General features: G+C 40.1%; 1 protein-coding gene across 8 annotated transcripts in view; it reads right to left on the bottom strand.

The window, feature by feature from the left end:
• PHACTR2 (phosphatase and actin regulator 2) overlaps nucleotides 1–16,733 on the bottom strand; it is a 294,308-nt gene that overhangs the window by 59,101 nt on the left and 218,474 nt on the right. For 5 of the 8 annotated variants that reach the window (NR_172204.1, NM_001394736.1, NM_001100166.2 and 2 more), the window contains one exon: nucleotides 6,287–6,824. Coding sequence is in view for 6 of the 8 variants with exons in the window: in NM_001394736.1 (NP_001381665.1) it covers nucleotides 6,287–6,824 (538 nt within the window). In the remaining 2 variants the exon portion in view is untranslated. Of the gene's footprint in view, nucleotides 1–6,286; nucleotides 6,825–11,444; nucleotides 11,685–16,733 lie in introns of all 8 variants that reach the window. The other 3 variants (NR_172205.1, NM_014721.3, NM_001100164.2) reach the window with 1 other exon arrangement.

Genomic DNA, 16,733 nt, shown 5'->3' with positions numbered 1-16,733 from the left:
TACATTTTTCATCTGTAAAATGCAAACGCTTGGTATCTGATACATTTAGCAAACAAATAGGGTAAAACTACATTTTGCAAATTATTTTTTCCTTCAAGTGTCAGCTACAGCCTCAGCTCCTTCAGGAAGCTTTCATGGACCTTCAGTTTAATTCCTTGCCCCCACGTCTGTCCCATGGGGACCTGAAGACGATCCCGCTAGAGTGCTTAGCATACTACATCTTGACCACCCATTGCTTCTCTGCCTTCTCAATCCCACAAGTTCCTGGAAAAGTGAGACTCATTGTTTTGCATCACAGCACCCAGAAGGTAATGACGTAGAAAAGTACATCTTCTTTCATTAATATATGGCTGGGTTCGGTGGCTCACACCTGTAACTCCAGCACTTTGGAAGGCTGAAGTGGGAGAATCACTTGAGCCTAGGAGTTCAAGACCAGCCTGGGCAACATAGGGGACCTTGTCTCCACTAAAAATACAAAATATTAGCCAGCAGTGGTGGCCGGCACCTGTAGTCCCAACTACTCGGGAGGCTGAGGCAGGAGAATCGCTTGAACCCGGGAGGTGGAGGTTGCAGTGAGCCAAGATCGCGCCATTGCACTCCAGCCTGGGCAACAAGAGCAAAACTCCGTCTCAAAAATAAATAAATTAAATAAATACATAAATAAAATAAAATAAAATAAAATAATAAAAAATTAGCTGGGCATGGTGGCGCTTGCCTGTAGTCCCAGCTTGAGCCTGGGAAGGATTGCTTGAGCCTGGGAAATCGAGACTGCAGTGAGCCATGCTAGCACCACTGTACTCCAGCCTGGGTAACAGAGTGAGACCCTGTCTCAAAAAAATAAAAAAAAGCATATATATATATATATATATATATATATATATATATATATACACACATATATATATATATACATATATATATATATACATATATATATATACATATATATATATGTAAAGTACATATATGAATTAATCCTGCTTTTATCCCAATATGTAAATAGTAAAAACTCATTTATCCTATGTGTGTTTTCATTTTTAAAACTGCCTCTTGTAACATAACAGACAATGTGCAAGTTAAATACACTTTTTAGAAAAAAGGTAATATGACTCTAGCCTGGGTGACAGAGCGAGACTCCATCTCAAAAAAAAAAAAAAAAGAAAGAAAGAAAGAAAAAAGGTGATATGCAAGGAAGCAATAATTTTCTATTATTTAGCCTAGTAAAAGTCTATGATTTAAAGAGTTACTATTAATGTACAAAGATTGCCAATTTTCAAAGACTAGACTAAAAAATACATAGTAATTTACATAAAAACATCACATCAAAAATAATGTAATCTTCATTTTAAGACACAAAGATCCCCCAAATTGCTTTCTGGTAAAAAGTTCTTCCAGCAATAAACACAGATAAACTTTATCAGAATATGAGGTATTTAAAACCCTACTTCATAGTTATAAACCTGAGTGATCACTGTCAAAATTTTGTTTCTCACTTATCAGAAAAACCCAACAGACTATATTCTTGTTCTCAAACAGGGAAATAGGAAATCTCATTTTTATTGTGTAAAATATACATAACATAAAATTTGCCATTTTAACCAGTTTTAAGTGTACAGTTCACTGGCATTAGACACATTCACATTACCGTGTAACTACCACCACCAACCATCTTCAGAACTTTTTCGTCTTCCCAAATTGAAACTCTACCCATTAAACAACTCCCCATAACCATTATCTCCCAGCCATTGGCAACTACCATTCTACTTTTTGTCTCTATAATTTGACTATTCTAAGCACCTTCTCTAAGAGAAATTATACAATGTTTGTCTTTTTGTATGTAACATACTTCACTTAGCATAATGTCTTCAAGGTTCCTTCATTCATGTCGTAGCATGTGTGAGAATCTGCTTCCTTTTTAAGGCTGAATGATATTCCACTCTATGTATATAACACATTTTGTTTATCCATTCACCAATCAATACACATCTGTATGTTTTCACCTTTTGGCTATTGTGAATAATACTGCTTTGAGCACTGGTGTACAAATTCAAGTGCCTGCTTTCAATTATTTTGGCTATATACATGGAAGTAGAATTGCTGGATCACATGGTAATTCTATGTTTAATTTTTTGAAGAACCACCATACTGTTTTCCACAGTGTGAAATCTCATCTTAAATAAGAGAAGATCTATTTTTATAGGAAAAATTTTCCACAGTCTGGGTTTTTAGTTGATTGCCACTGGAAGCCATTCTTGTTTGAATTGGCTGCCATTATGGGTGATCACAGAATGTTTAAAATACATGCCAATTAATAATATGTTCTGAATAACAGAACAAATTTGAGAGATGAGTCCTTTATTTGTTGGTGTCATTGTTCACTAATTAATTATCATATTGATTATTATTCTAATCTTACTATTTGTATTTTGTTTCATGGTTTTCAAAGAGTCCAGCATACATCTACAATTTACAAGTATTCTATTGTATAAGGAGGGCAGATAACTTATAGTTCATGGAATCAAAGAAGACCATGAGTGAGTTGCCTAACCAAGGTAGCAAGTCTTGTCTAGAATCCAGACTGAAGACTCGGTCTACCTATTAAATTTTACATTTATTATACTATTATATTTTACACTTAATGAGTTATGTTATAAATTATATCTGATGTTAAATATATTCCAAATTTGTATTAATCAACTCATGACTTACCCCTCATTTTTCCCCCTCGGGTTCCTGGGCACACTGGACAATATAGTGCATTCTATACATGTTTGTGAAAATGAACTGTACAAAGTAGCCTTTTGGATATGGCCTCCAAATGGGCTTATTAGTTTTCACCTTATATTGTATCACACATATGTGTTACTGATGAAGCTGCCCATGAATGGAAGCCTACCAAATAATTAGTACCCTGCCATATGGGAAGAGAGGTAGGTATTTTTATACATAGCCACTTGTCTTCTTGAAAGTTTTGATATTTGTATTCCAAACAGAAGTCTCTTCATAAAATGACAAGATTTTCACACATTAGTTGATGAAACATAACTCAGAAGGAAAGTTCTAAGTAAAGAAAGTGACTAAGAGCCAGATATTCTAATCCAAATATCCACTTGAAAAAGGCAGAAGGAATTTGGAAGGAAATTTGAGAGACTACTTACTCCAGGTTCATTAATTCAAGAGCAAACACAAACCATCCCTGTAGGATGAACTGAAATTTAAATTTTGAAGAATATACAGAGAAGAAAATCCCTATGGCCTCTTCTAGGAAAGCATTATAACTACCTTGATGGACAGGAATATCTATTATAAATAGCCTCAATGGCTAATGATGTACTAAGCTCACTCCCTCTGATTATAGTCCCAGTAGGAATGAAGAACAGATGCTTACCTCTTTGGTCTGACAGTTCTTCATATACTTGAGATGAAGACTGATATTAAGCCCTTAGTATGTTGTGTGTTGTTTAGCACAATAAAATGAACTCCTTAAATATTTGTGGAAATGAACGGGATAGAGTCAGGCCACCTTTGGATATGAGCTCTCTGAGTGTTTAAGACTATATCAGGAAACACTTTACATGTTGCACCTTATTCTTTAGTATATTGAACAATAATCCCGTATACCCAATCTAGTTCCCAAAATTCAGATGTTACCTTAAACATTATACTTCCTGGGCACATCAGACAATATTTTGGTAAAAGCTAGTCTTAACTATATTGCCTTGCTCACTTTTGTATCCTTGGTGCTTAGTACATTGCCCAGCACAGAAAAGGCAATCAAAAAATATATGCTGTAAGAATGAATGTTCAGTTCTAATGGTTGGAAGTGATGGCAATGTTGGAAAATACTCACTATAGTTAAATGAAGACATTTGCTGTGTGCTGGAAGTATTAAGAATGCTCCTAGGGTTTGAATGTGTCCCTCAGAATTCATGGGTTAAAATTTAATCCTAGCTGGGTATGGTGGCTCACGCCTGTAGTCCCAGCACTTTGGAAGGCTGAGGCAGGCGGATCACAAGGTCAAGAGTTCAAGACCAGCTTGGCCTATATGGTGAAACCCCATCTCTACTAAAAATACAAAAATTAGCCAGGCGTGGTGGCAGGCACCCGTAGTTCCAGTTACTGGGGAGGCTGAGGCAGGAGAATTGCTTGAACCTGGGAGGCAGAGGTTGAGGTGAGCCGAGATCATGCCACTGTACTCCAGCCTGGGTGACAGTGCAAGATTCTGTCTCAAAAAACAAAACAAAACAAAACAAAAACCTTCATCCTCAGTGTGAAAGTGTTGAGAGGTAGGGCCTAGTGGGAGGTGTTTAAGTCATGAAGGCTCTGCCCTCGTGAATAGATTAATGCCATTTTCAAAAGGGCTCACAGGGGTAGGTTCACTCTGTTGTGCTCTCTGCCCTTCCACCTTCCACCATGTGATGACATGGAAAGAAGATCCTTGCCAAATGCTGCTGCCTTGATCTTGGACTTCTCAGCCCCTAGGACTGTAAGCCAATATTCTAATCATTATAAATTACCCAGTCTCAGGTACTCTATTACAGCAGCACAAAATGTCCTAAGAAAGACACCATAACCGTTCATTTCAATAAATCTTCTTTTCCCATATCTTTTATTAAAATGTCAAACAAAGAAAATAAATTAATTTGTAATTTGACATTTATTTTTTCTTGGCTGTCCTTCAAATATTGGTGCTCAAAATGACTTAAAAAAACCCAAAGAAACTAACAGAAGAGAAATGGCAGTAGAAGTAGAAGCCACTGCTTTGGAAAACATGAAATTATTCATTCAGAGCATGGAATTGGGTATGCATTCTGGCTTCACCACCACCAACTGGGCAGTCTGGTGCAAACTATTTTAGCTCTCTCAGTGCCAGTTTTCTTATCTATAAAACAGGGATACTTTTGGGAAGACTTGTGTAAATAAAATGATAATACATGTACAGTGCTTAGTTCCTGACACTAAATGAGTATTCAATAAATAAAGGTTATTATCATTAGCAATTAAAGAATTAAAGTTGATATTTTAGTTTCTTGACCAAAACCAACCTAATTAATGTAATAATTTTTTTTAAGTCTAACATGACAGATTGTTTTGAAAGAGAACCTTTTACATGATTTGAACAATGAATACAGGTTTTGTTCTTAGACTCAGGAGCAAAAAGCCAGGATGCAAGAGCTCTAAGCCTTTGCCAGACAGAATTTATCATTGCGTCTACTATACTCTGACAGCCATCCATCCCTTCATACTCGTGAGACAGGGCTAATATGTTTTATTTACCTGTAAGTAGAATATTTATAGGACTTTGTGAGTGATGAAATGCAAAGAATGAAAGAGAATGAGGACCCTTGGATGAACCCCAGGTTTCCAGCTTGGGCAACTGGGTGGTGGTAAAGCAACTAACCCACCAACTGGATGAGGGTGAGGTAACATTGAGTTCCTTGGCCCATTTTGTTCAGGTACCTTCTTAAATGAAACTAAGACTACTTGAGCACTATCTTTTATCTTCCATTATACTCTACAAAATCTAGCAATAGGGTCATCTTATCTTCAATGCTGCTTCCGCAATGTTAAAGTAGGCTGACTTTATCTATAACCATCTTAAATCCCTTTTTTATTTTCTTTCAACAATTCAATGAGCATCCTTTGTGTGCCTATGGCATATCAGACTCTGGAGTGGTTGCTGGGCACACAGAGGTGTCTTATGTAAGACATGTTGGCTAATTCTGTCCCACAGGGTTAAGTATAGTAGACACAATAACCAATTCTGTCTAGAAGTACTGAATGGCTTCACAGAGGACATAACATTTAAGCTGGGTGGGAATTTAAAGGAACAAGAAAGGGGACAACTCTACTGATGGAGAAAAAAGAGTTCAAATTTGAGAGTTCTCTTCTGATCTTCTTTATGTTCTTGGTGAAGGGGAAGGCTCAGTAACTTGCTGACATGAGTAGGTAAGCACAATGGTAAAGTAAAGATTTAAAATAAGCACTGAAAGGAAAGAGAAGGGAACTGTGGACTGCTGAGCAGTGCTGAAGCAGGTTCTAAGTGTACTTGAAAACATTGATCTCAAGTGGTATTTGTCAGCTCTACCAATGTAATTTTCTCCAGCAGCCCTAGGCATTCCCAGGGCAGGGCTCTGACAAAGCAATGGTTGGATCACATGTATGCCTACCTAACACTCAGTAGATTAAATTATATAAGAAAGCAAACCCGGTGCTTCATTTCCAACAGAATATATTAGTGATCTTTAGTTCTCAGATAAAATAGGGGGTTTGTTCCCCAACTCACCATTTTGCATTTTCTCTGTTAACACTTAAGCCAGTGCCTGAGTAGAGAGTGGTTCTGTTCGTCGGCTCTTCAGCCCAAAGAAGCTGACTTGGGTCTAAGGCAGAGACGGGCAGGTCAGCTCCAACGCTGACGAGGACAACTGGAGTGTCTGAGGCAGTAATGCACTGATCCTCAAGAGGGAGAGGGGGGGCCAGAGGAGAAGGTGCTGGAGCCACAGGGGGTGGAGGGACCATGGACTTGAATTTGCCTGTGTTCTGCTCCTCAGCTCCAGGGACAGTCTGTTCGAGTTTGAAACTCTCCACTCTGGTCTCTGCAGGCTCTCCTTTCAGGTCGGATGTGCCAGAAGTTGTTGTGTCTGAGGACAGGTGAGAAGTTATTGGCTGCTTGTCAGTTTTTCTCTTGCCCTTGGTGGTCCCCACTGTCCCTGCTTTGCTAGAAACTGTCTCCTTTGAAGCTTTGGGACGAGATGAGGTGGATGAAGTGGATGGCGAAGCTGATGCTTTAGAGCCAGTTGTTTTTTTTGAATGAGAGGAGCCAGCTACAATAGAGAGACCTTGCATTAAAAAATCAAAGAATACAATGCTTTTTAAAATAAAGTAACCAAGGTGTAACTGTCAACAACATTTAAAATGTTCCCTTTAAAGTTTGTTGAATAAATGTATAAGAGAAAATAGGCTAATCATGATAATAGTCTTGTCTTCTGCCCCTCCCTTCCTCCAATCCAGCAAGGAGCAAGTGATATTTACGGCAAAACTCAGAGGAACAAGAGTCCTCTGTCTTCTCTCACTTTAGTCTTTAGCTGAGCCAGCCAAAGGGAGAATCTTCTGCCCCTTGTCTATGGTTCACTTGAAAAAAGCCCGGTATGCTCTCAAGAAGGAATGTTATGGTGCGTAAAGGACAGACATCAGCAGCTAGCTGGGTGTAGCACACAATTAGGCTCATCATAAATTATACATGTTCTATGCTGTCTTTCTAGGAATAGAGTGGTGGCCTGTATTCAGAAGAGACTGGGGTATATATCCAGCTTCTTTCTGGGTCAAAAACAAAATCACTCATCTTACTGCTAAAAGAGAAAATCCACACCAGCTTTCCAGTAGCTCCAGAGAAGAAAGCTCGCCATGCTGGACTCTACTTCCATCTGCAGTAGAGATGGGGTAAAGGGAAAACCCATGGCCACACAGGAAAGGTACACTCCCTTCAAAGCATCAAAAGGCCAGAAAAAAACTTGTTGTTTACAAAACCTATTTACATGGGTTGCTCCTTTTTTTTTTTTTTTTTGAGACAAGGTCTTGTTCTGTCGCCCAGGCTGGAATGCAGTGGTGCAATATCGGCTCACTATAACTTCTGCCTCCTGGGCTCAAGTGATCCTCCTGCCTTAGCCTCCTGAGTAGCTGGGACTACAGGTGTGTACCACCATGCCTGGCTAACTTTAATGTATTTTTGTTGAGACAGGGTTTTGTCATGTTGCCCAGGCTGGTCTTGAACTCCTGGGCTCAAGGGATTCACCCATCTCAGCCTCCCAAAGTGAGAGGCTTTGGTGGCTCCAAAGAATTACAGGTGTGAGCCACCGTGTCTGGTTCTAAATAATGTGAATGGAAAGGATATCATTCTCAGGTCTTCTGACTCCACCTTCGCAAATGTGATCTTCCTTAATGCTTAAGTTCCAAGAAGGTCTTCATCGAAGGATAGCTATGGTATATTTGCCTACTTCCGGATAGGGCACCCTCAATCAAAACAGTTTCAAAACAAAAAGATTAACTACTTTTTTCTTTATGTCATCTTAGTAAATATATGATGATAAAATAAACTCCTATGAGAATACTCTTTTCTTTCATGACCTATAAATTTATCCTAATGGCTTCTTCTGTTATAATGTTGTTATGCTCCTTCTCTTCATGAAGGGTTCAACTATCTTTCACAGAACGATTAGAAAACATCTTGTTAGCATTGTGAAGCCAATCCACACTGTATACAGATGTTATTATAACTTACCTCCAGTTATGACTTTATTGAAGTCAATTGGGAGGGTGAAGAGATGAAGAATAAATGAAAGAATAGACAATGAGATGTAAGACTTCATTTATTCTGATTAGACTGATACTAAAGAAGCCAGTCTTATTTAGTGACAGGTTCCAGGCTTAAAAGGAATCCCTATGGTTTTGGGGTCTTTATCGTTTAAGATATACATAACTAGAATTCTTCTTCCCCAAATCTAGACCTGTTACTTTATAGAAAACAACCTTCCCTAGCCTAGAAGTCAAACTCATTAAGCACACTCCTTCAATCTAAGTCCAGTCTACATTTACTTTTCACAACAAAGACGCTAAGGATTCGGTGCCTAACCATGTTCAATTATTTTCTTAGCTAAGTTAAACAGAATCCTTTCCACATAACAATTCTAATAATTTGTTAAAGAAAATTCTTTTTTTTTGTTTTTTTTGAGACAGAGTCTCCCTCTGTCACCCAGACTGGAGTGCAGTGGCACAATCTTGGCTCACTGCAACCTCTGCCTCCCGGGTTCAAGTGATTCTCCTGCCTCAGTCTCCCAAATAGTTGGGATTACAGGTGCCCACCACCACGCCTGGGTAATTTTTGTATTTTTAGTAGAGATGGGGTTTCACCATGTTGTACAGGCTGGTCTCGAACTCTTGACCTCAGGTGATCCACCTGCCTCGGCCTCCCAAAGTGCTGGGATTACAGGTGTGAGTCACAATGCCTGGCCAATAAAATTCTTTCATCATTAACAGAAAAGTTAATTTTAGTTTGGCTTGAGGAAAAAGATACATTTTTTTTCACTGCCCAGAGTGCAAATTCAAGCCACATTATAGTTTTTCTTAAAGAATCTTCTTAAATAACAGGTCTTTGTTGAAATCAAACATGTTGCTTAAGTTACCTTCAATTAAGGGCATGATAAAAAAAAATGTCGCCTCTCCTCAGTTAAGTACTTTTGTTGTTAATAATGTGTAACAATGAGAAACAAAAATCAAGGAGATTTAACCCGATTTCTCTGGCAAAGAAGCTGAATGTTCTAAAACCGATACCTAGGTAGCTACAGGTCTACACTAACTTAGTAATAGAGAAAGAATCTTAACTTATGGTTGTTTTAACAACTTAAATCACTGGGCTGAACATCAAGAGTAGCATTTGAACAAACTTTTCTAGAAGGTCCATATTATTCAAATAAAACAAAGTTACTATGCAGAAAGTTCTAAACGGTTACAAATGGACTATCAGTAGGATCATAAAGGGATATTATCAATATTTGATAAAACGATTCTTACATGATGGGCTTGTTGGTGTACTTAAGTGCAACCCCTGTTTTCTCTGTGATAGCCTCTGGAAAAGTCAGGCCTTTTACAATACAATGAATAAAATGACTGTACTATTCTCTTAGGAGCATCATGAGTGCCTAAATAAATCTTCAAGCAAAATATCTGGAAAAACCTCAAAATCGTTTATGAAAGCTGTCCCCTGACCTGGTGTTAATCATCGGCTTTCTTCTGAGGGAAGTAAAGAGAGTCCAAGCTGAGTTCAGAGTGAGCCACTACCACGTGGAGAATGGGAAAGTGGAGAAGTTAGTGCAAGACAGGAGCTTAATTCCCAATGACAGAGTGATCATTTGGGGCTGTTCTTTAAGAAGAAGATCAGTGCCTCCCTCACTTTAAGCAGTGCTTCTAGGGTTTTCTAGGAAGTCTAGAAAACACACACAGATCCCAACAAGAATGGACACTGATGGGTGAGGACAGCTGCTCCCTGAGGAGATGGCCACTGGGCACTGTTGGCACATCATTCTGGGAAATTTCAGTTTAGAGCTTATTAGAAGAGACCCAGACACTAAAGGTCAAAGGCGGGACATGAGGAGCACAGGGAGAGGGATGTCTATTGGCATTCAGAGATCTGTTATACTGTCAACTAAACCGCTCTCTGAATTTGAGCATTATGGTCATACATTATGAGAGGAAAAAGATCAACACCAAGGCAAATCCTGACAGTCAACTGCTAGAAAGTTGCTGTTGATTTTAAGGAAAATAGATTTTTTTTTTTTGAGATGGAGTCTCATTCTGTCGCCCAGGCTGGAGTGCAGTGGCGCGATCTCAGCTCACCGCAACTTCTGCCTCCTGGGTTCAAGCGATTTTCCTGCCTCAGCCTCCTGAGTAGCTGGGATTAGAGGTGCACGCCACGACGCCTGGCTAATTCTTGTATTTTTAGCAGAGACAGGGTTTCACCATGTTGACCAGGTTGGTCTCGAACTCCTGACCTCAAGTGATCGATCCGCATCAGCCTCCCAAAGTGCTGGGATTACGGGTGTGAGCCACTGGGCCTGGCCTGATTAATGTCCTTTTAAAAGATAAATGACATGGTAGGCATCTTTCTTCCTCTTCACTAAAAAAATGGGAGTTTCCACTTTGCATCAAGCATATCTGATTGTAAAGCAAAGCTGGATACATATTGCATGAGTTATTGCAGGTCACTCAAACATCCACTGGTGATTTATAATAGTAACTTATAACCACATGACACCAGGATGTTTTGCCTTAGAACACACAAGTCTACAGGGGAGGTGTGGAACACTGAGAGTGTAACTTTCCACTCCACTGAAATAGTTTTCACTGCAGTAGAAAGTGGTGGGGTGGAGCTGAAACAAGTGACATGAACCCTTTGTCATTTATCAGAAGGGAGATGACTATGGATGCTGAGGATTTAACACATTAACATCCAGTAAATATATCAAAGTTATAATTGTCACATTTTTATATGCAAACCTTAGATATTTTGAAAGAAAATCCAAGCCAAAAAGCCACCCATAGGCTCATATAGGTAGAAGGTCAGTCAATGTCTAAATAATGTTATATCAGATCATTGTCATTCATCAGGCATACTACTCCCAGTATCCTTCAACTGGTGCTGATAGTGGATACTCAAGATGAAACCAGTATATTCACTCAAAAACTAATGAGGTGAACTATTCAATGGGTTGAATTTCCTTTGGTAGAGAGCAACAAAGGAATCTCCTGGGCATTCTTTGTGTCAAAGCTGAACCTGCTGGTGTAATGTCCTAAGACACCAAAAGCCCATCACACCTAGAAGAAACAATTAGCCCCATCCCAGAGCCAAGCACCCTAGAAGTGACCCCACAGGGCACTGGGGGCATACTCACCAGCCTCTCGGGTCGTGTTTCGGCTTGCTGGCTTGGGTGGAGGGACGGGGGCCTGCTTACCAGGAGCCTTGGTATTTTTTTTAATGGGAGGCACTTCATCACCTTTGTGGCTGGCCCCAGCAGTGGCCCCTTTCGGAGGCACAGGTGATTTTTTGGGTTTAGGTTTGGGTCTAGGCTTAGGAGGAGCAGAAGGAGGTAGAGCAGGAGCTGCCGGTGTTTCAGAGTGGTTTTCAGTGTTCTCTATAAACGAGAAAGTGAACAGAAGCAGACTGATACAGACACACACCATATAAACACAAGGAGCAAGACATGACGATAGTGACACAAAGCGTGTCTGCTTGGTACTTGAGAATCAGCATGGAGTTCTGCACCAGACAGAGCACAGTTTAGGGTGAAAACAAAGGCTGAAAGACAAACTGAGAAGTGTTCTCAGGGTACACGAATCACCCTTTAATAAAACCGGGTTATACAAACTACTTTGACGAAATTAGGTTGAGGATGTGTGTAAATGTTTGCAGTCAGGGGCCTCAGTTCCAGCCTTGGATCTGGGGTTGCTGGATGATGATGTGGGCATGAAGTGCTACATTTAAATTGAACAAACAATGATTTAACAAAGTTGAAGGCTCCTGGAGAGTGGCAGATGAACACGTTACAGTCACTGCTGTGGGGTGAGGAATGACAGCTACAGCAACTGCTGGACTCATGGTTACCCTTGAGAACTCAAGCCTGATCCATCTGAAAGGGATCTGTGTTCAGCCTCGCTGTGATCAAAACCCAATTATTTTGTAAGCTAAGAGAGACTCTGGAGAATCTTTTACATGAGGCAACAATGCGCTTTAGAATGAATCATCTTCTACTAGCAAAATTTTCTAAAGCTTTCCCAGTACATTGGCAGCTTCCTGTTCTAAAATAACTTCCTCTGCCCTTTCCTTCCTTCCTTTTCTTTTCTTTTTTTTTTTTTGTATGTGTGTGCATGAAAGAAAATCTTAAAAAAAAAATTTTTTTTTTTTTTCAGATAGGGTCTCGCTCTCTCACTCAGGCTAGAGTGCAGTGGTATGATCACGGCTCACTGCAGCCTCTAACCTCAGCCTCCTGTGTAGCTGAGACCACAGGTGTTTGCCACCACGCCCAGCTAATTTTTGAATGTTTTGTAGAGATGGGGTTTTGCCACATTGCCCAGGCTGGTCTTGAACTCCTGGGCTCAAGCAATTTGCCTGCCTTGGCCTCCCAAAGTGCCGGGATTACAGGCATGAGCCACCATGCCTGGCCTTTTCAAATACTGTCACAACTATAGGTACATCTAGATGGTGCCGAATCGAAGAAATACTTAGGTCTATTTTGTAATGTAAACCAAATAATTATTTTGGAAAGACAAAGGCTAAAATTCATCCAAAACTCATACCTAAGAATAGCAGCTTCTCACAAGGTTTTGTGTAACCGGAGGAGAAAGAGTATTAGTCTCTTGTTACTGAAAGACAGATGAGATGCTGAAAGTTCATTCATATATTCACATCTGTATTCTTTCTAATAGTGGCTGATGAGAATTAAACTAAAATACCATTCTAGTCCAAAAAGCTAAGCAGCATTTCTTTAAAAATGGGGCACAATAAAAACCTTGAGACAGTGTTAAGACAAGATCGAGCCTTAACCAAGGCTCCCATAATTGAATGCTCTAGAAAGGGTTTTAATATTGGAATATACTGCATTTTATTATTATTTATATTATTTTGTTTCTTATCCTAATGAGTGTGAAGTATAGAATTCTCTTTTAACCACATTCCCCATCAATCCACATATATAATTAGCATAGATGACTTCAGTTACAATAGGTAATCAATAAAGCTTTACTTTTAAAGTTCACCTTTGATCCTGCCTCAGCCACAAAATCCTCTTCTGTCACTGTGGCCCAAGTTGACCCTTCTATCTCTGAACTTACTTGGGCTTATTGTGTGAGCCACTTACTCAACATTTATCAGAAGCTATTTTGTATTTTTGCCTTTCTGTTTATATATCTTGTCTCCTCAACTAAGCTGAGTATCATGTATACTAATAGTAATGGCCCTCTTAACTCAGCCAGTCTTAACCAGGCAAGTAAATCACAAAAGTCAGTTAGGTTTGAGAATGATACAAGTTGATACACACCTATAAAATTTAATTTTAACTTAAAATATATAAATATACATTAATTTCCCAGTCTTCTGACATATGGTTGAAGTCTATTCTTTAAATACATCTTTGTAACTTTAGCCCCCAGTATAATACCATGAAGTATGGAGACTAAGCCCAATAGTGTCATCCATAGTGAAAGTCAAACTGATCTGTAACACATGTCACCTTAATTCTCTTATATACCACAAACTCTACACATGTTTTATCCTCTCCCTTAATAGCATGTCACTGAGGGATGTTTTTCCTTTCTGCCTAAGGCTTAAAATTCTAAAGGTATACCGGAAAGAATCCAGCTTCTGGGTTTGGGAAGGAGGAGATAGTTCACCAGATTGGTTGGCAATGACAAGACCTACTAGGGAGAAAATGAACACACTGCAAACAGACTTTCTCCTGGCTCCTTAGAGAATACGTCCGCTCCTCTTGACTCTTCGAACGCTACCAACTATGTGTGAACATTTGTCATTCTGGTAATTCTTAAGTTATGTGTGTGTGTGTGTGTGTGTGTGTGCGCGCACGTGTGCATGCACACACACGCAGGGACATATGAGTATGCAAATAGTATAATTTTTTGACTGAATTATAAACTCCTTTTGTCTGAAATTTAAAATTCCATCGAACACAATGCTGTAAACACTATGTCTATTCAACGAATGGGACTGACTGTCTAATAGTTATTGACACACACATCAGTAGAAAACAGAGCTTTAGTTGGAGCTGGGAGGTAATGAATTATGTCAAGTTGTATATTTTACACTTACCATGTGATCTGAAGACATGATATAAACTGATGGCATATAGGAGTATTATCACTTCAAGAGAAGGTTGAGAAAGGGCTGCCTCGTCATTCTGGCTTGATAAGGACGCTAGCCTTTCCAGCAATGCGGTCTGGAAAACAAGCTGTTTCCCATACTTCCAGGCTTGGCTCCTTTGAGCCCTGGAAGGTTTGAGGTCAACGATACTTAGAACAAGCCTGGGGCTGCATGTGGTCCTCACCCTGCCTAGAATGCAATTCTTACCCAATTCCTCTGCTTCACTTGATGACCTCCTTCTTGTTTCCTTCATGTCTTAGTTCATAAATATCTTCCTCTGAGAACCAATGTTGGCCCTCACTGTGAGCTCCCTTGGGTTGCTGTGCTCAGGCCTTCTACGGTACTTCGCATCTTGCACTACAATTGCCCGTTTGCATTCTGGTCTCCTCACAGGTCATGCTCTTAAGGCAAAGGCCATTTTTCATTTACTACTCTTTTCCTGGCCCCTAGTAGAGTCTCACCTATGGTAGACTTTCATTATTTGTGGAACAAATAAGTGTTCATCACTTGTTATTTCATTGAAGATTTTAAAATAATAACTTAATAAAAATAATGTCAAGCAAGATTTCTTAGAATTCTTATAAAATCTTATTATTTAAAATTATTATTATTTTCTTTTTTTGAGACTGGCTGTCACCCAGGCTGGAGTGCAATGGTGCCTGAACTCAGCTCACTACAACCTCCACCTCCCAGGTTCAAGCAATTCTCCCTGCCTCAGCTTCCCAGTAGCTGGGATTACAGGTGCCCACCACCACACCCAGCTATTTTTGTATTTTTAGTAGAGATGGGGCTTTGCCCTGTTGGCCAGGCTGGTATCGAACTCCTGACCTCAGCTGATCTGCCCGCCTTGGCCTCTCAAAGTGCTGAGATTACAGGCGTGAGCCATAAGATTTCTTATATTTAATACTAAGCTTTGTTTAACAGGGAGCAAGTGAGTTTTTCTGCTCTTTTTTTTTTTTTTTTTGAGACGGAGTCTCGCTCTGTCGCCCAGGCTGGAGTGCAGTGGTGCGATCTCGGCTCACTGCAAGCTCCGCCTCCCGGGTTCACGCCATTCTCCTGCCTCAGCCTCCCGAGTAGCTGGGACTACAGGCGCCCGCCACCACGCCCGGCTAATTTTTTTTTTGTATTTTTAGTAGAGACGGGGTTTCACCGTGTTAGCCAGGATGGTCTCGATCTCCTGACCTCGTGATCCGCCCGCCTCGGCCTCCCAAAGTGCTGGGATTACAGGCGTGAGCCACGGCGCCCGGCCTTTTCTGCTCTTATATATATAAAGGCACTTACTGAGAAAGAATAATGGGAGACCAAGAGCCCCAAAGACCTTAAGGAAGAAGTCTCTAGTATTAGGCAGAGGAGGCCCAAGACCACTGTACCAACTGCAGAATCAGGTGCCTTCAGGAGCCCCAGAAATGCCCAGGGGGCCTGGGTGGAATCTACTCACAGAGCAAGTGTGAAGGACACCACGTGCCATTTGTTTTGCTTTCTTTGACGGTGATGTTTCAAATATTAAAGTATTGAGATATTGTCTTATGAAGAGATATAATACACATCTAGGGCTCTAAAGGCAGATGATATGGTTTGGCAAATATAACCAAATAGATGACAGAATGCTCTTGAATAAGTTGGCTTCATGCAGGAGGAAAGGGAGCACTGTATCCCAAAATAAAGGGTGAATTAAGATCATGGGATGGTGGGGTTTGCACGGCAGTGAGCTCACACAAGCAGTGAGACCAGAAGAGGAGCAGAGGCAAAAGTGAAGCTTGAGTTGGTCTTCAGAATGAAAAATGTTTTTCTAGAGAAATAAATTGTTACCTTTGTCATAAGGCATTTTCTAATTAACATAATACACTGTAATATTAGTTATGCGTGACATTCTTTTCAGTCTCACGAAGTGGCTTCTATACCTAGCGCTTCTCCTTGTGGCTTTGGTGTGTGCACTTTCCACACAGGAGACAGCCGCACTGCCTCTTTAGTGGTATGTCAGCATCCAGCACTCCCAGCTCCTTCCTCATGTACCTACTAGCCAAGCAACAGGCTCTCTTGGACCTTATCAGATAAGGAAGAATTGAATGTACTAATTCTAAGCAAAGAAAAACATCTCTCAACTATTCATGGACCCATAAGGTCTGCTATCTTCTTTCAAGAACATCAAGGTCTGTTGGTTAATTCATATAAAACTGTCAGGAACTTTTTATTATGTTGATAAGGGAAACACTTCCTTTGATGTCTGGCCAGTCCAGTGACGAATACCCTGCACGGACCAGGCACCAGAGATGGCACTGTTACGTAATGCAGGATGCGATTCTTGGATGTG

This window comes from Homo sapiens, chromosome 6 (genome assembly GCF_000001405.40).
Source record: "Homo sapiens chromosome 6, GRCh38.p14 Primary Assembly".
Taxonomy (NCBI): domain Eukaryota; kingdom Metazoa; phylum Chordata; class Mammalia; order Primates; family Hominidae; genus Homo; species Homo sapiens.
Note: the sequence above shows the minus strand (reverse complement) of the source record. Positions and strands in the feature narration are given on the sequence as shown.